The sequence below is a fragment of the Homo sapiens genome, chromosome 1 (genome assembly GCF_000001405.40).
Source record: "Homo sapiens chromosome 1, GRCh38.p14 Primary Assembly".
NCBI lineage: Eukaryota > Metazoa > Chordata > Mammalia > Primates > Hominidae > Homo > Homo sapiens.
This window is the reverse complement of record NC_000001.11, coordinates 44,402,621-44,421,882: the sequence shown is the minus strand read 5'-3', so window position 1 is coordinate 44,421,882 and position 19,262 is coordinate 44,402,621. Positions and strand designations below refer to the sequence as shown.

General features: G+C 47.9%; 1 protein-coding gene across 14 annotated transcripts in view, besides 3 other annotated features; it reads right to left on the bottom strand.

Moving 5' to 3' along the window:
* RNF220 (ring finger protein 220) overlaps window positions 1-17,100 on the bottom strand; it is a 246,942-nt gene extending 229,842 nt beyond the window's left edge. For 3 of the 14 annotated variants that reach the window (XR_007061417.1, NM_001319956.1, XM_006710735.5), the window contains exons 1-2: window positions 16,357-16,723; window positions 9,161-9,902 (exon numbers count right to left, since the gene is read on the bottom strand). Coding sequence is in view for 13 of the 14 variants with exons in the window: in NM_001319956.1 (NP_001306885.1) it covers window positions 9,161-9,785 (625 nt within the window). In the remaining variant the exon portion in view is untranslated. Of the gene's footprint in view, window positions 1-9,160; window positions 9,903-10,094; window positions 13,734-14,368; window positions 14,449-14,801; window positions 15,092-16,352; window positions 16,724-17,066 lie in introns of those variants that run through there. The other 11 variants (NM_001376486.1, NM_018150.4, XM_011541699.2 and 8 more) reach the window with 8 other exon arrangements.
* Window positions 7,840-8,040: a silencer, noted in NCBI's record as "peak196 fragment used in MPRA reporter construct". NCBI's record gives its function as "represses an SCP1 promoter by STARR-seq MPRAs in K562 erythroleukemia cells {active_cell/tissue: K562}" and the evidence as "EXISTENCE:reporter gene assay evidence [ECO:0000049][PMID:32103011]".
* Window positions 12,770-13,446: an enhancer, noted in NCBI's record as "NANOG-H3K4me1 hESC enhancer chr1:44874109-44874785 (GRCh37/hg19 assembly coordinates)". NCBI's record gives its function as "activates a minimal SCP1, AML or CMV promoter by ChIP-STARR-seq in primed H9 embryonic stem cells {active_cell/tissue: H9 hESC(primed)}" and the evidence as "EXISTENCE:reporter gene assay evidence [ECO:0000049][PMID:30033119]".
* Window positions 15,213-15,735: an enhancer, noted in NCBI's record as "H3K4me1 hESC enhancer chr1:44871820-44872342 (GRCh37/hg19 assembly coordinates)". NCBI's record gives its function as "activates a minimal SCP1, AML or CMV promoter by ChIP-STARR-seq in naive H9 embryonic stem cells {active_cell/tissue: H9 hESC(naive)}" and the evidence as "EXISTENCE:reporter gene assay evidence [ECO:0000049][PMID:30033119]".
* Window positions 17,101-19,262: the final 2,162 nt, after the last annotated feature.

Sequence of the window (19,262 nt, the reverse complement as noted above, 5' to 3'; positions counted from 1 at the left end):
TCTATTTAAATAACAGACTCAAATCCGAGGTCCTCAGGCACAGGGTCAGTCTTCCCCACTCCCATCCTCCTACTCCCCACCTCTCCCACTGACATGCAGAGTCATTCTCTGGTATTCCCAAGTCCCATGGGGCTTTTTCTCTACAAAGAGAAAAACACTGAGTTTATTTGTGCGTTCAGGGTAATGGACAGCCCTCTTTTACTCCTAGGAGAATGCACACAGACACTATGCCCCGCCCAACCCTGCCCTCCCCTTCCCCCTGCTAATCCCTCCCCAGGCAGCCCCCCCATCTCAGTCCTGCTGCTGTATTTCTCTTCTGACCTACAAGGCCCCTTCAAGCCCCGTCCTAAGCTTCCCCCAAGCAGAGACAATCCATCATGCTGTGGGACTGTGACACACACAGATGGGGGAAGGTTCACAGATTTGTCTCACATAGGCAAGAGGGTAAAACTGTCTGTATAACTTAAAATCTAAGGACACACGAGAAACCCAGGGATTGTGAATTCTAATACTAGTCAAATACTATTACAGCAAATCTCATTACGTGTAGTCCAAATCTCTATCACACACAAATTCTAATAACCCATTGATTTCAAACAATATCCAGTAATATAAAATTTCAGAATAAGAAAATACCATGAGATTTGGCTTTTTTAACCCGGGCCACTGCCTAGATATCCAACCCGAGTCAAATCCTCTCCCGACTCCCAGACTCAGTTTCTCTAACTCGACTATTACCTTGCTTCTAAATAAAACAAGGGAGAAAGAGGTCAGGAGGACACCAGGGCTAATCCTGGTGGATGGATAATAATGAAGGGAGGAGAAGCAGCTGGCCATCACAGAAAAGGGCTTTCAAGCCTTTCTCCCTCCCTCTTTCCACATTGCCATAAGGCATGAGTGTGTGAAAGGACCCTACATACATTGCTAGTTGTTAATGACCCTGTGTTTGGCTACATCAATGCTTCTAACAAGGAAGGTTTTACCACCAGATTGTCCTTGAAATAACAACAGTAACTAAGTATTGAATACTTAGTATGTGTGAGAAACTGTTCTAAGCATTATCTATGTGTTTAATCTCATTCAGTCCTTCCCAACAACCTTTAAGTCTGTATAACTCCCATTTTGCAGGCAAGAATACTGAGGCCCAGAGAGATTAGGTAACCTGCCCAGTATCAGAAAGCAAGTAAGCTAACACGTCAGGACTTAACTCCAGAGGCCAAACTCATAGTGACTATGTTACATTGCCTCCCCACCTTTGATCTGAAACACCTTCGAGTTGAGGCTCAAAGGGGGCAAATACAGCTTTTATTCCTCTAACAGGTATTTATTATGCTAGGCCACTCTGACTTCCTTTAAATCAAACCCCCAGAAGCAAGGTCAAATGAGAGCAATATAGGATTAGCTGGCACCTAAATGGGAATCATATACCTGAAAATAAAGCGAAGGTCTCTCCAGGGCTGGCCCTTGCCCCCTCCCTACAGCTTTCTGTCTCTGCTGCACTAAGATTGATGTAAAGCCATAAGTCTAGCCTGAATTTCAGTGGAAAAAGACAACTCTTGCCTGGTAAGTCACACTCAAACTTACTGGGCTGGATTTCTCATAAGACTGTACCAAAAGGTTCCTTCTTCACTCACATAGCTCCAGATTTTCCTAAAGCTTCAGATCTGTTAACAGAATGTACTGGACACAGCACCATGTCTCCCCAGCAAAAACACAACTTTCATTTCTTCTAGGTCATCTTAAACCAGAACGCATTCCACAGAGAAAACTGACAGCCACATATCTGAATTGCCAGATGGTTACATGTGTCTACAAAACCTCCACATCACTTGACTGTTTGCAACTTTGGCCAGGATCTAGGTGGAAACTTTTTTCTAAAATACACACCAAAAGCAGATCCGTATGTGTGGACTCCACGATAGGGGATGTAATGCTGTGGGAAAACATTTGGAAAGGGGATAGGCTCCAATCTTAGGTTTCTAAGGGTTAGGAGAAAAAAGTAGATTTAAATTTTTGTTAAGTTATAAACGATTTTTTATTAATAGTACCCCAAGTAATAAAATAAGTCTATATTTGAGAAAGGTGATTTCACAAATTCTTGGAAAACTCCCTCCCTACCTTCATCATCATGAAACCTCAAGGCATAAATAAGTTCTTCCTTTCTTTCCTCAAACCTCTACGCCTTTGGGATAGCATACATAGTCTTACAGATGCTGTTCTGTGCAATGCTGAAGAGTGGTAAGATGATGAAAACTTAAAGTAAAAACTAGATTATAATCGCCACCACTAAGGTATTCAATATGCAATGAACACTAAACCCTTTTAGATGATTGGTACCAGACAAAAAATAATAATTTTTTTAAACACTAAAACTAAAGTAGTGTGATTAAGATAACAGAAAAGTCCAATCCATTGGGTAAGGCTGGAAGATGATAAATTCCTTCTGTTTACTTAGCATCTACCAGGTGTTCTGATTCATACTACAGCCTATCATTTCTCCAGGCTCAACATGTAGTCCCAATCCAGGATCTTTTCTTGGAAAAGGTGTAAGAAGGTTCTTTCGCAGAAAATTCTTCTTGCTGCAAAGAAAGAGATACTTACAAATTCCTACCCTGTAGCACACATGTGAAGTTACAAAGGATAACAACACATTCTGTTCAACCATACATGCCACAATTTAAATGATACTTAAAAAAAATTTTTAAAGGCATTTTAGCTAATATATAGCAATAAATTATCCTTAAGTCTGCAGTTCATCTCTCTTTAAGACGGGATAAAATGGCACTGGGAAATGCTGTTAAACTCTTAGCAGCAAATATGCAAGTCCAAACAATATTGCTATTTTGGTGTTTAAAAATCCTGTGGATTTTACAATGCAATGTACCATCACTCCAAATCTCAAGTATTTATAAAGAGCACGTCCCAAGGTGTGCTTCGATATTTATTAACCACATGGATGTGGTTAATAAGAGTTAAAAATAAGAAAAACTATTATAAAAATATAACTCCATTAAATATGCTGTCACTCCAAATCTCAATTATTTACAAAGAATACATTTCAATGTGTGCCAATATTTATTAACCAGATGGATGTAGTTAATAAGGGTTAAAAATAAGAAAACCAATATAAAAATATAATTCTATTTTTCAGTTTCCTCTTCCCTGCCTAATGAGGAAAGGGGGTGGGGAGGGACAGCAACTTTTGTTATTTGGATACAATGTGTGTGTGTTTTTTTTTTTGTTTTCAAACAAAAAAGGGCCACCAAATAATCAACCTGGGGCCGCTGACCGGAAGGCAGCCCCGGAAAACTTCCCGTGGGAAGAGTTCCAGAAATTGCCCAGACTTTAACGAGCCCCGCTGTGCTGGCTGCGAGCCTCAGAGGCCACCGCGACTCGCCTTGCCCGAATGCCAGCAATCCCGCCGAAGGACGGAGCCCTGGACTTCGGAAACATTCCCCGGAACATTTTTACAGATTTGAAAAGCAGGAAGGGAAAAACATTTCAAGCCGAAAGGAGAAGCCTCAGAGTCCTGGGGGCACCAAGGGGCCAGCGAGGTCCCCAGGCGCTGTACACACGTCCAACCTCCCTCCTCCACGCGCCCTGCTCCCCCAACCTCCTCCCATCCCTCCTTCTCCAGGCAGAACCCTCCCCGCGCAGTGGCCATCCCCACGCCCGCGCTGTGTCCCCCTCACGCCCCGTGCACCCACTAGCGCCTCCCGCGCGCTCCCATGCACCCCGACGTCGCGTGGGCGCCCCCCCCTTATCCGTCACCCCGGTTCCCACTCTCTTCTGCTCAGACGGCGTAGAGGAAACCGATCGGGGACTGGGTTCTTAGTGCGACTTGGGGGTGCAGGGACGTGGAGGGCGAGGCGGGGCAGGGCGGGGGGCGCGACGGGCCCTCGTGTGTGCGGCCGCGGGCTGGGCGCTCCCGGCCCTCGAGGCGGCGCGCGGAGTCCTCCTGCGGCCTCCAAGTGCTGCAGAGCGACGGCGAGATCACCAACATTTCTGAAACCACTTGCAAGCCGCCTCGGTGGCGGAGGCTGGGGGTCCCTTGCAAGTAAGCGAACGGGGCCCACCCCGTGGCCTGGCCTCCCCGGGGCCAGTTCTCGCGCCTCTCCGCGCCCCCTCCCCCAGAAGATCAATTACCAGCCACCCTTCTGCCGGCAGCGGCGAGGGGCTGGCGGGCGGCCGCGAGAAAACGGCAGCCCGGATCACTTCTGCATGACAATTGATGGGAGGGAGGGCGCGGGGCGAGGAGGGAGGACGGCTGCGGTGTCCGTTTTCTCACCATGGTGATTAGGCATTCCGGCCGTAAGAGGAGGCAGCCGCCGCACAGAGCGGCGCGGCGTGGAGCGAGGGCAGGGGAAGAGCGGGAGCACAACTACAGCGAGCCCAGCCGCCAGGCGAGCGGCGCGCCGAGCCAAGCCAAGCCAGGCCAGATGGCTCTGCAGCCATCAGGGACTGCTCCCGTCCAGCCTGGCCCCACTTTAGCTGTGCAAACATTTCTTTATCCCAACAAGACAATTAAACCCAGCAGCATGAAAAAGAGTCTCCATGACTGTGTTGGGAGTGAACAACCAGAAACAACCACACACATCACAGGAGTTCTTGCCCCCGGGGAGTAGGGGAGAACCCGGGAGCAGCTGAGGGAGAGTCAGGCTAGGTCTGGGCAGTCAGGACAGAGGGAAGCATCTGACCCAGGTCTTCTGGCGATTTGCTGACCCTTTCCCAGTGGTCATCTGTCCCAGCTGCAACCCAGAGGTGCAGCCTGGCCACCTGGCATGCCCCAAACATTCTCCCTAGCAAGAACAACTCTCCTAAAAGCCCAGTGTAGAGTCCCTGCCCACCCCAGTCCCAGAGCCCTTGGAAAGTATCCCCCCTCACCCCAGCCCTCCCCATTCCAGGCTGCCTTTGGCCTAGGTGGGCTCAGCTGATTTGATTGTTAGAACACAGGGTCTTCAATGATACATGCCTTTATATAAAGACACAGAGTACAAAATACCATCTCCTACTCAGGGCTTTTGGGACCCAAGAATGGCTGTTCAAGTACATCAAAGATGAGAGCAAAGCAGAACATCCAGGAGCTGCTGTGAGCCATCAGGTTTCCTGCCTACCTGTGACTCTGCCCGACCACAGTGAAGGTCAAGGAAAGAGGGCAAAGCCAAGCCACGTGTGGTCAGTGCCCAGGGTCCATCCCTGGGGTAAGCCAGAAGACAGGGCCAGTCGCCGCTCCACGCGGGCAGTTCTGGGCCCTCTCAGCCCTGTGGTGAGCATGTATACTTCGCCAACTCCAATCTGGGCTGAGTGGATAGGCTGGCAGGCTGGCCAAAGACTGTGTCACACAGGCAGGAATCTGGGCACAGGGGCAGCCTGAAGAGGACCATCAGGATATGCACATGACAGGAGCCAGAGTGCTAAGGGGGTAATAAATGTACAGATTCTAACACAAGACAGCAGACAATACTTATCTTCCCTTTTGTTGTGAAGTTTCCTTAATGAGGAAATGTTTATTTTAAAGGCCCTGGGAAACATGGCTGTAGACATTTCATATGTAAAGCACACGTGAACTACTTGTAATTGGTCCGTAAATTTTAGCATTATTTCCCTGGACAATGAGTCTTGGGGACTGATTCAAGGAGTGACAATAAGCAGGAGTTACCTCAGTCTCCTTCCTGGGGAATTATGCATCCTCCATGAATGGCTTCTCACAAAACACTTCTCCCATTTTCCAGGGCAAGTAAGTCAGTCCTGCAGAGTAAAGGCTGCTTGTTTTTCCATAGAGCACAACACCTCCCTCAGGAATCACCTGTGAAGCCAGGTGGATGGACAGGCAAGCAAACCAGAATCATCTATCAGGAAAGATGATGCTTGACCCAAATCGCTATATTTCTGTCTATAAAAATGCATGTTTAACCACAAAAGAAATCCTGCCTACCAGTACCCAGATTTAAGGAAAGAACATGTGTGCATTACACCATGTCTGCAGGCCTCTCTTTCCAGTGGGCTCACAAGTGGACATATCTGCAGATTGATGTAGTGTGTGAGCAGGGGGTGGCTGCAGCAGTAAAAACTGTCAGTGTTTCCATTATACAACTGATTTCTTAATGACCTAAAACTCAGTCATAAAAACTTCTGCTCTAAGTAAAGGACACACACCACCATTCTCATCTCCCACCCCCACCCACCAACAAAACTCTAAAGCTAAATGCTTACTTCGGAGTTTGACTGCTGCACTTAATTAAAACATTTAAAAAATATTTTATGAAAAGATATTTATATGAAGAGAACTGAAAAATGAGTCAACCATATCAGCAATTAACTCTAAATTTTAAGAATAAATATATATACATATATACACGTGTGTGTGTGTGTGTGTGTATATCAACCATATATGGTTAATTTGGGCAATCTGGCGAAAGCACTGTATCCTATCACTCTGCTCGTCTGAACACTTTCTATCCTCTGTCTTTTCATATCCCCATACCCCGTCACTGCCCCCATCTGCCCCTGAAGCTTTCTCTCCCTTTGGAAGCAGTCTTGTATACTGTCACTCGATTATCTGAGAAATATTACTTATTTCAAAACGGTTCTGTAGGGAGGACCTGAAAGGCATCTAGTGGGAATAATCAGGCCTTCTAACGACCCTTAAATATGTATTTACATAAAACAGACCATAAATATTCCGACACACGTCGGCATATGACAGGAGCCAAGAAAGCTGCTGCAGACTTTGTCTTAGTGCCTCTTCAACCCTTCCTTACAGAAAAATACTTCTCCTGCCTTCCAAAAATTCGCAATCAAAAGCACAAACGCTATCTAGTATGACCCAGTGAGGGATGTGCTAACCACCTAAGGTAAGGAAGGGAGTAAAAAGCACAACTCCAGGGTGACCACAGGGTAGCACAGCCTCCTTTTCACTTTGCACCTTTGTTTTTTATTAAAGATTAGTCACAAATGCAACTCTGGATAATAACGAGGGTGTACGAACACCCTCCCCTCACAGACACTCCTATAGGTTTTATGCTTGTGTACAAGAAAAAAAAAGGAGAACACAGGGTACTCTATAAGGGAAGACTATTTTAAATGAATAAAAGAGGAAAGGGACTCCAATTTGTATAACACCGCATTGGAAATAAAGAAGTTTCCCCACCCTTCTGATCAGAATCTCATTAATTTCAAGGTCAGAATTCCATTTCACTTTGGGAGACAGACTCATTTAATTTTTCTCCACCCAGGCGTACTCCTGTGTGAGGGATCCATCTCCATGGGGGATGCCACCACCACACAATGCAAACCAGGCAAACAGAAGAGTTATGGCTTTGACACTCAGAGGGGAATGGATATCCACGTCTATGAGTTCTGACTTGACTAACAAGCTTCCTCCTGCTCTGGAGTCGGATACAGGTTTGGGCTAAAAAGATAGAAAAATGGAGACAAGCTGGATCTGTTAGGTAAGAAGAAAGAGATCTCAATCTCCAGATGTTACTTTGTGGCATATTAGCTAAGAGAAGATTTCATTTTCAACTTGTATTTGGAGAAAAAAAGGGGCGGAATCTGTCACACCCTAACACAAGGCAGTTTTGGCTGGAGGTCACATTATAACTAGCCTTGATCACTTGCACATCACTGGACAAATGAAAACTAAAATAAAATCAAATGAACCAACACAATGCCGATACCTGTTCAGCAGGTATATCCAAGAAGCAGGATCACAAGACACACAAGTCAACAGAAACTGAAAAGGTGAAAGAGAACCAAAGCCAAAGTGAGAGGGCAACACTAGCAGTAGTGCTGTCAGCCAGCAGCCTTCTCCCTTAAGTGGGGAGGTCTCCGGCTTACAGAGGCTGACATAAAAGACACACTTGCAACATATTTCAAAACCAAAGAGCGATGGATTTACAAGGCAGGTTGATTTTATGATGACTTTTATTGAAAAGGTACGCTGGGTTTAGGCAGATGCCTTTTAGCGCAGGGAAGTTAACACAGTGCCTAATTCAAGGAGACAGCCTGACGAAGCAGTGGCGACAGGGGAGAGAGCTGCAATGTCTCTATTACTCTCCTCGGCATCATAAAGAGGAGGGAAAAAAATGGTATTCGTGTTGGTGGTTATAGAGAGGATGGGAGCACGAAAAAATAGAGAAAAGTGGAAGGCAAACCTCAGATGTAGTTTTCTTAAGAAAATAAAATGAAGCAAATCTGAGAACAAAGGGTTGCGTGGAAAAAACACCCTCAGTTCATAAATTCTCACCAGGCTTGAAGAAAACTGCTCTGTCTACCCACAGCCCAAAAGCTTCAAAACACAATTATTTTCTGATTATATTAGAGCAAAAGATTGCAGGGTTCAGCACTCCTAGTCTACAAGTTCCAAATAAAGGTTTAGTTCCAGCTATAAGTGTAGCCAGAGCCCAACAAGGCACTTGGAGAACATGAAAAAAAGCTGTTTCATAAGCAGAAATTAATAATAGTTGTGAACATCAAATTTGGAGCAGTCACACAGGTCAACCGTGTCTAGTCCTAAAAGTGAGCCCCAGGATAAGCATCCAGCAAACCTGTGAAATCCCAAGAGAAGTCGGCTTTCTAGCCTTGCGATCGCAAGGAAAACACAGCTGTGTGAAATGCTTTATGGTGATTGACGACACCTTTGTCCTTCTCTGAAAAATAGCCTGATGTGGACAAGGGCTGAGAGTTGTGAAAATAGAATCACGTGGAGTCTGCTGGATGTGATACAATGGAAAAGCTAAAAAATAACACTGAGATCAGACAAACATAACGAGGACAGCAAAGAGAGGAGGGGTGGACATGTTTCTTTAGGCCCCCCAAATTCCCTAGGAGCCGACACTTCTTAATGAAATGACATTCACTTCAGTACGTCGGTGGCACCCCTCTTCACTCAAGTCCTCAGAGAATAAGCCCACTAGGGTCCGGAGAGAAAGGCTGTGCTGGGGCCAACTTGCCTCTGGCTACTTTCAGAAAAATATTTCAAGAACTATCAGTGCTCACTGATAAGAGACAAGCAAAGGTTAGCACTCCACAGCTAGTGAAAGGGAAGTAGTTGGCCCTTCCTATTACTAGGAGCATGCAAAACGCCACCGACCTGTTGAACATCACGGTGAGGCAGGGCTTACTGGGGGTAAGGGAGGGCTGGAACCAAAGTACTTACATCTGTCATTCCGATCCTCTGGGCTAGATGAGGCTTCCCGATCAGAAATGAGGCCAGAGACAGCAAAAATCTTCTTCCCAGTGTCATCAACCTTTAGTGAACCGGGGGAGCTAGATGGCAGCTGTGTCCCAAAGTCATATTCCTTGCCATCTGCATCTGAGAAGCGCAAGTGGGGAGACTCTGTGTCATGGCAGTTCTTAAGTCGCTTGGCCGGCGTAAAGGCTGACTGATAGCTCTCCCGGTCCTCGGTGGAGGCAAAGGGCCGGAAAGCCCCCACACCACTATGATTCAGCATACTGATTGGGGTGCAATCTAGATTTGGGGGAGCAAATTGAGGGTGGAGGTGTAGTAGAGAAGGGGGGAAATCACGATTGGCAAAAGTGCCTGGCACCCCACCTTGCCGATGGTACATAGAGGCAAAGGTATAGGAACCGTTGGTGAAAGGAATATGCACGTCCTTGTCAACTGAGACAGGTACACCAAAGGGTCGTGGCTGCTGACAAGGGATGGAAGCATCACGGCTGGCCTCAGCCGTGGATGCCAGGACCATCAGTGCTGGGGATGCCAGAGGGTTGGGAAGGTAGGATGAGTTCTCCATCTTGAAGGCTGCCCGGTGTAAGTCCATCGGAGTCTCTTTCTGTGGCCGGCGTTACGCAAGAAGCAGTCTTCCCTGGGAGGGAGGCCAACCAGCACTTTGGGTCAGGGCAGGGAATATTACTGGGGAATCATTCCCTCCTAAGACCTGTAGAAACAGCAAAGAGAAAAAAAGAAGGGGGAGGAAAGTCAGGGGGAGGAAAAAAAGGGAAACCCCAAGTGATCGAAACACCATCCTTCTGGCTCACAGATGCTCGGGCAAGAGACACCACAGGCTTTAGGAGCCAGTGGGCAGCAGCATCAGACCATTTTCATTCAGGAAAATCAATAGACAACTTACTGTGATGTACGCGTAGCTGACTTTGGTCCCTACACGTTCTGGGTGAAATGCGCCTGAGCCCAGCAAAGAAAAAAATATCATAAAACCTCCAAATACGATATTCTCTGAACAAATGAGCTTTGGAAGGCCAAGCCATCCAGTAGATTAAGTGGGGGTCTATGTTTTAAAGTGCTTCCACCTGCATCCACCACTCATGGCAGGCCTGATGTTCAGAGACCACATTCTACCTATACGATTCCCCACATATGCATCCTCTCTTCATCTCCCCTAACAACACCCTGATACTGAAATATCCCTAATTCAAGTTCATCTAGACCAGGAACACTTGTACATATTAGTTAGTACAAAGTATACACATGGATAAAAGATACACATTGGCATATACACACACACACACATCTTCATGTATCATCTAAGACTGTTTCCAGAAAAAAGTGCTATATGAACAAACAGCATTAACATTTATTTTGAGGCACACCTCTCTCTAATCACATGGGCTTTCTATTTCTCTTTTCTGAGAAGGAACAAAACCTTCATCAATAAAATGCCTGGCGTCTCTGACAACACTTAAAACCATAATGGGTGCCTTTGGCATACGCTCTCTAGAAGCATCTGTCTTCTAAGGGCAGCAAAGAACAGATCGGTGATTTTAGTTACTAATGCACTCACTCTTAAGTAGATTTGTAAACTGCCTTGGATTTGCCATTAACATTTAGAACAAAATGTTAACAAAATTTCTGACTTATTTTGCTCTGCTTATTGGCCCAGTCAGAGCTGATGTCCAATAAAGGCCCCCGGAACAAATTGGAGTTCGGAGAGACTTCTTTCAGTTTCCCTTGTAAATTTAGGTTGTACATTTTCATAGTCAGTGGTTCCATTCCAAAGTGTATTTTGAGTGGGGGCTGGGAGAAGGGCTATATATCAAAAGCCGGGACAATATAAGATGAATACCAAGACTTATTAGTGTCAAAAATATACACGAAATAGAAACTTAGTGAAACTCAAAGCATAACCAAAAATCACCGTCTGCTACAAATTATACCTTTAAATTGAGAGTCATATCAGAAATAAAATCTACCTCGTCCCTTTTAAAAAGCCCACCTGGAGTATCTTTGGTATTCCCTCAAACAGAGAAACATCAGTTAAACGGTAGATGAATCCTCCTGGCTTAATGCAGTGCAAAGAGAGTATTTCCTTCTCCCATCCTGTAGCAGACATGTCAATGACTGTTATTAATTGGGAAGATGAGTGGACACCATCAGACTGCTTCCTCATTTGGCATCTTTCCTTATAGACATCATTGCTAAATTACCAGATTATGTATCTCACATTAACGGATTTTTCTCTCTTCCAAATTTTAAATAACTTTCCTGTCAAGTTATAGCAGTGCAGGGAATGATCTGCCAAGGACAGCCAGTTAGGCTGACAAGTCTGGGAATCCTGTTCTTGGCTGTTTTCTAGTCAGATTAATGGTCATACAACATGGACGCTCTGAAAGTGGGTCTAGGGCTGTTCCAAGGGTTCTAAGCAGCTCTTCACAACAGAAATAGCTACTTATCTATCAACAAGCAATATTATATGAGGAAAACTGGAGAAAAGAAATGTGAAGGGAGGAATGTTTCCCCCTCAAAATACGACCCCCCCCAGGATTCACTTGCTATTTTTACTTCCTAGATCACCTCATTATCTTAAATGAGTTTCATAAATTAGGAATCTGGTGACAGCACCGGACACTCCAACAGAACCTGGTGAATCACTCAACCCTGGTTATTCATTTGAAAACTTCATTACACTGAAAATAAATCAACAATATTTTTCCAGGCCACATCTCTTTTACTTCATTGCGTGGGCGTTGGTCTCCATGGGGGAGGGGGGAGTGCTTTTTTTCTTTTTTTTCTTTTCCCTTTTCTTTCTTACCCTCTCCTCACATTAACAACTTGTATAGATGAGGCTTCAGCTGACCACAGTCATTATGAAAATCTATAGTTAATACACTCCCAATGTCAAAATGTCATGGGTTTAAACACAGAACCCAAAATAAGAAAACTAACTGACCCTCTTAATTAAAAAAATATGGATTGTAAGATAATCAGCTTGATGGAGCATTTGGGTGACTGTGAAGAACCCGGCAAAGGGAAAGTAAGTAACTGTTACTTTTCTGCCTCTATGCTGATTTTTTTTAATTTAGCACTTCGTGCAAATCCAGATTAAAATAACTCCAGCTATTGATCCGAGCAGTGGAATTGACATTAATTTTAGTTCACTTCTCACTTTGCAAAGGGATCAATAGGAAGTAATAACAGCTGACATCCCCGCTGAAAGGAGGAGAAAGAAGGGCTGAAGACAGAAATCGAAAAGCAACCAAATAAATCATCAGCTACTTTTCCACGGCATCAGACAAACTCCAAACAGATTGCAAAAAGTCTTTGTTGAATTAACTAAACAAGGAGGAGGGATCAATCCACGAAGCTAAATAAATTGTCTGGCAGGCAGTGAGGTTGGACGGAGGGACCAACAAATATTGAGTTAAAAAATTTCAAATCCTTGACGTGATGGGTTTGGTTCAGTTCCGTATCTGTGGGAGTTTGTTTGTTTCTTAAATCACACTCCTGACCCTGGTTTAAAGTGATTGCAAAACGCCAGCTATCTGAATAATTAGTGAGATTACTAATTGCGTGGTTAAACACGCCAGAACCAAGACAAATGAAACGAAGACGTCCGCGTTTGGAACGTGAAAATGTCTGAGGCTGGGCTGATGCGCAGCGCTCCGCGCTCTGCGGAGCGAACTAGCCACTTTCGCACAGAAAAACCGAAAGCCCAAGAGAAAGTCTCAGAGAGTAGGTAATCTCCCATCCCAGTCCAAGGTCTGGGCTTCCTGACCTGCGCCCGGGATCGGCATAGAAGGAAGCGGTGCTGCTGCCCCCTCTGCCTCCGCCGTAGCTGAGAGCCAAACCCCTTTGCAAATGACTGCCACAAAGAAAGCTGCAAAGGGCTCTTTCCCGGAGCCGAGCTCAGGGCGCCCACCAAACTACGGCTCTGCTGGCAATTAAAATGCACACACAACACTCCTCTGCTTATTACAACAGGTGACAGTTTTGTGGTCTCTGAACCGTTTCCAAAAGCCAGGAATTAAAATAATAGAACAAATTAAACGATATTTTTCCTTTGCATAAATAAACTTTTAAAAAAATTAACAAGGAACTTAAAAAGCAAAGAACAATGGGAAATGAGGCAGAGTAGTGGGGGGTTGTTAAGAACGCAGGAAAAAAATTTTTTTTTTAAGTTCACAGACTTCTTCGCTTGAAGAGAATTCCCGCACACCAAATGCCCAGGGGGTATTTGGAAACACCGCTCTAACAGAAATTTTACCACCATATGCGAGAGCTCAGGGAACATAAGGCTAACACAGTTCCCGGGCTAGGGCCGACGCCTGTGTTTCAGGCATGGCCGGGTATGGTCCCAGATTTGGACCCGGGTTCAGGCCCAGCTTGGCCAAAGGGTGCGAATCCGAGACAGCCCGGGCCAGTCCGAGAGTGCGGGGTCGCGGGATACTGGCTCAGCGAGCGGGTGCATTATTCAGCTCGGAAGAGTCTCGACTGGGAAAAAAAATCAACTCTTTTAGGGAAAACGGGGGAAGAAGAGGTGAAGGCGAAACCTACATAAACTTGGGCCCAACGCGGAGCCGAGCCCACTACTCTTTGGCCCGACCTCTCCCTCCGGCTCTCGGTTGCCTTTGTATATAGAATACTCTGGGTCCCAACAACCTCCGCACGAAACAATCTGCGCCCAACTTTGGGCAACCAAAGCGCCAGTCCAGGAAGAACCGACACGTGCAAGGGCCCCTGGTCCGCAGCCGCGCGGGGCCCGCGGGGCAGGGGCTCAGAGCTGCCAGCCTTCGACCAAAGTCCAAGGACCTCCAGCCCCCGAGCAGCCCCGCCCCGGGGGTCACCCGGGTCCCGCCGCCGCGCGCACCACCGCTTCAGCGGGCAGCCGCGGACTCCTCCACTCCCGCTTCTCCTGCAAATACGGACCGGCGCGGGGCTGCCGGGCCCTTCCAGCTCCTGGACTGCGGATGCGCAGTGCGGGAGGGAGGGTTCTGCGGCCCGCACCGCGGCCGTCCGGCCGCCGCACACCGCGCGGCTCGCAGAACAGGTGTGTGTCCCCGCTCGCTCCGCGCCCGGCCCCGGCCCTGTCGGCCACCAGCGGCGCGACGCGGCGCCGCCCCGTCCTCGGCCTTCCCCAGCCTTGCCTCGAAGCGCAGCAAGCGAACTCACGCCACTTTTGCCGGGTCTCTGCGGGCCAGGAGGGATCGGCACGGAAGACGCCAGCACCGCTCTTCCTCGACGCTCTTTCTGCCTTTCCCCCCTCTGCTCATTCCCCTTTGCAGGAAGAGCCCGCGAGACGGAAAGAGGAGGCCAGGCAAGGCAAAGCCCCCCTGCCCACTCTGCTCCCCCCAGTCCCCTCGCTGCTTCCTCACTGCCGCCCTTTTTTTTCTTTATTTTTCCTTTCTCTCCCCTTTGCCCCTCAAGCCGAGTCCGGAGCGGAGGCGAGAGGCAAGATGTGGCTGCTGGGCGTCGTGGGCAGCGAGTGCGGTGCTCTCCCCCTCGGCGGCTCCCGGGCCAGTGGGCCGGCGCAGACCCCAGACGACCCGGGCCGGCCAGGTAGGGCTGTGCCCCCACACCTATGGCCCGGGCCCCATGCACCCACCCAGTGCGACGCGCGCCTGGCTCAGGGCCGGAACACGGGCTCTCCGCTGGAGCTGCATCCACGACCCGAGAATGCAGGGTGTGCTTAACGGGAAGCGAGAGCTTTCCCCCTGCCTCCTGGCTGCCCTAGTCCCCGCTACTTCGGGACTCCTGCGCGCCCTCGCCAGCTGGGGTCGACCTGGGCCGCGAGCTCTCGGAGAGGCTCCTGGACTGGGGGATGAACCGGGCATCCCCTCGGATGGCCTCACCACCGTGGGCGGCCTCGCCCGGGGGGCCACACGGAAGCTCTCCGCCCAAGTTTGTTGTGCCCTGGAAGAAAAGGCTTTCTCTTACAAAGCACAAAGGCGAAACGCCCAGGCCGAGCCCTGAAAAGCCCCGGGTTGGGGGGCGGGGGTGGGGTGGGGGAGGCCGGAGGCTCCGGAGTGCGGTGGCGGGGCTGGGTTCCGGGCAGAGAAGGTCGCTCGGCCCGGGCTGACAAGCGCGGCGGCAGTGGCCGCAGGACCGCAGCGACCGGCGTGCTCACTGAAAAGTTTTGTTCTTAAGTCAGAAGAGAAATTGTTACTCAGTTTAAGGCAGGTCTAAGATAAAAATAAAACTACAAGTAGAGTAGTCAAGTAGCCCTCGTCTCCACGATCGTCCTCCCGCCTTGCTCAGTAGAACCGCTGGGAGAGGGGGTCCCGACCCCGAAAATCCCGGGAGATCCCACGTGTCGGGCTACTCTACGGCCAGGCCGGTCCAGCCCAGAGGAGTGGGGAGTTTACCGGTGGCGTTTAGAACGGTCCGCCTCTATGCTAGCACCTGCCTCCTTCCTGCCCGCAGAGGATCCATCCATCCTACCCCACCTCCCTCCCTCCACACCCTTCACACCCGCCCCCGCTAGGAAAAAGTCAGCCGAGCACCCGGGGTCCAGGGCTAAACAGCCACTCCCCGGGTATCCCGCGGAGCCGGCTGTGTGTGGGGTGGAGGCTGTCGGGGTAGTTTCTCATTCGGCTCGCCCCTTCTCCATCCGCCCGCCGCCTCGGGCTCCCCACTGAGTACCACCCAGCCCTGGCCTCGCCGGAAATCAACGCGGGGTACATAGGGGAGCCCGGAAATCACCGGGGGGTGCACCAGAGAGCCCGGCGAGAAGGCATTCTCGATATCGACCCGAACAAAGTGGGAATGGGGCTTATTAAGAGACGGAGAAAAGAAGTCCTGCTCCCTTCCCTTGCAGTGCCCTCACCCTCCCAACTTGTCCAATTCCCGCGTCTGGTCCCTCCCCCTTGCACCTCCCCCCCTCCCCAAATAAAACACATTAAGGAAAACTCAAGACGGAAAGTTTGAGCGAGGCAGCGCACGGAGCGCGCAGGGCGCCGATGCCGAGAGGCTCCGTCGCGATGATCCAAGACGCGCCAGTCCGAGTCCCAGTCCCTGCCCCCGTCCAGAGGGAACCGCCCGAATCCCTAGGAAACGGACCCGGAAAGTTAGCCAGGTTCCTGAACAAGCCGGCCGCCCTCGCACCCACCCCTCTTGGGTACGCACACACGTCCACACCCCTTTCTGATCTCCATACTTGCCGTGGAAATTCCTTGGGAGAACGGTCGCACTTTTCAGGACACGGAGGGAAGCAGGCGGAGAGTGTGGTGCATGAAAAGTCCCGGGTTCGCAGAGCCGGCGGAGGCAGCGGCGGCGGCGGCGGCGGCAGCGGCAGCAGCAGCAGCAGCAGTAGGCGGCTGGCCCCGGGTTTGTGTTCGCGAGCTGCCTGGGATTGCATGTACAGATCAAGAGACTCAGTTGGCGTGAGAGAAGGAGCAGTGCTGCCTCTCAGCGCTGGATCTAATCAGTGAATGAGCCTCCACTCTCCCAGGGACTCGGAGACACACACACGCGCGCACACACACACGCACGCACACATTCTCTCACACTCACACACATACAGGCACTCTGAGCACTGAATACATTAGGGCACTAAGGGACTCTGGGAAATGAAGTCCAGACCCAGGGCACTCCTGGAGAACAGACCTGCTGGCCCTCACCAAAGAGCTTGGAAGTCTTGGGGTCGCGAGCCATTGTGAACTAAAGAGAGCGTTGGCTTTTGTTTACATCCCTCCTCCCCCACCCGCAAAGGTCTCAGTGAATGGTTTCGTGCTTGTTGTTCTTCCTTTCCTGAACCAAAAGGGACCAAGAGTAAATGGGCAAAGCTTGAAGACTGACATCCACTGCTGCTTAAATGACCCCCAAATCCTGGGTCCCTCAAAATCTCTGTCTTTTCCCAGAAAAATCTTACCTGCTGCTTTGTTCCTGGAATGCTTCTCTGGGTCTTTGACTATAATAATAAATAATAAATGAATATTAATAAAACTGTAACTTTTGGAGGAGGTGAAGGCCTAGTATAGCATCCAGATGTGAGAATAAAATTTTTTATTGGTGTTTTATTGATGTTTATATTACAGTTCATTTCAGATCATTTCATATCATCCTATAATTCATCAAACACAAAGATAAACAGGGGAAATGGATAGAGAACTAACATTCCTGAGTGCTTTCTAGGAGCCCGGTTATGAGACTAAATGCCTTTACATAATTTCATTTACTCCTAAGATTAATTCTGGAGATAATAATATTACCACTAGTTTATAGAAGAGGAAACTGGGGTTGAAAGGGTTTTGTAATTTGCCCATGAAAACGTGGTTAACAAGTCTTGGATAGCAGGTAGTTCTAGTTCTGAAAGCAAAGTTCAACCAAAATCAAATCCTGGTTTAAGAAGTCATTCCTGGCCGGGCGCGGTGGCTCACGCCTGCAATGCCAACACTTTGGGAGGCCGAGGCGGGCGGAACAAGAGGTCAGGAGTTCAAGACCAGCCTGACAAACATGGTGAAACCCTGTCTCTACTAAAAATACAAAAAGTAGCCGGGCGTGGTGGCATGCGCCTGTAATCCCAGCTACTCAGGAGGCCAAGGCAGGAGAATCGCTTGAACCCGGGAGGCGGAAGTTGCAGTGAGCCGAGATCACACCATTGCACTCCAGCCTGGGTGACAAAAAAAAAAAAAAAAAAAAAAGTCATTCTTTTGTTTTGTAGTTAAGTGTCTAAAACCTCAGATTTCTCATCTGGAAAAAAAAAAGGGAGGGTGGGGAGAAATGGAGTACACACTGATAATCCACTTTACAGAGAACCACATAGGATTATAAATTGTCTAAAAAGAATGAGACTCAAAATCTCATTCTTGCTATTATTTCATTGTCCTTTTTACTTATGTTTAACATTAAGGTAGCATCTAAATATTAAGTATGTTTATGTATATGTGTGCTGTTGGTATTTTAAAATTTTAATTGGCAACTCTAAATAAATTGTTAATTTGATCACTTAGAGTTCTACATTTACAACTATTTCTATAATTCGTGATATCAGGATTATTTGTTGAGGAACTTTATTTTTATTTATTTATTTTTTTTGACATGGAATCTCACTCTCTCGCCCAGGCTGGAGTGCAGTGGTGTGATCTTGGCTTACTGCAACCTCCGCCCCGAGTTCAAGCGATTCTCCTACCTCAGCCTCCCAAGTAGCTGGGATTACAGGCATGCCCCTCCATGCCCAAATAATTTTTAGTAGAAATACGGTTTCACCATGTTGGCCAGGCTGGTCTCAAACTCCTGACCCCAAGTGATCCGCTTGTCTCGGTCTCCCAAAGTGCTGGGATTACAGGGGTGAGCCACCACGCCTGGCCTGTTGAGGAACTTCTAATCCATGTTTAATCATTCATTCATACACCAGCATTTATTATGTTAGGCTCTATTCTTTCCACTAAATTATTATTTCCTGCTGGATTGTAAACTTCATGAAGTCAAGAACCATGTTTGTTGCATTCTACATCATACCCTAAGCACCTTACAGCATCAGTCTCTTAGTTGAATGAATAAACGAGGATATAAAAATGAACTCCTGTCCTCAAAGAGCTCACCATCTAGTAGAGGAGACAAAGAAAGAGTTAGAAATCAATTTGATAACCACTGTAATAAGGATGACCTTAGAATTTATTGATCTAACTGAGACAAGTTTGATGATAAAAAAGGGACACTTTTAATAATTACACTGGGATGACAAATGTCAACAAGGGCCATCCTGGGCCAAGCAGATTGAATGGTCACCCTAGCTACATAAGGTATTTCATTCATTCATTTAACAAGCATTTATCGAGAACTCTCTTGCCTGGTGTGTTAAAGGAATTATAAGCCACTGATTTCCCTCAAAATTGAAATATGAAACATTGAGCAGCAAGAGATAGGCAGGAGAAGTGGGCCAAATCACAAAAGGCTTTGTATACTAAGCTAAGGAAAGTGGATGTTATCCTACAGATGATGAGAAACCCCTAGAGGGTTTTAGGGGTGTGACAGGGTAGGATTTCTGTTTTAAAACAAGCACTAGTTCCTGGGTGGACAAGGTGGAGGTTAGACAAGAGGCAGGGAGGCCAATCAAAAAGTCTAT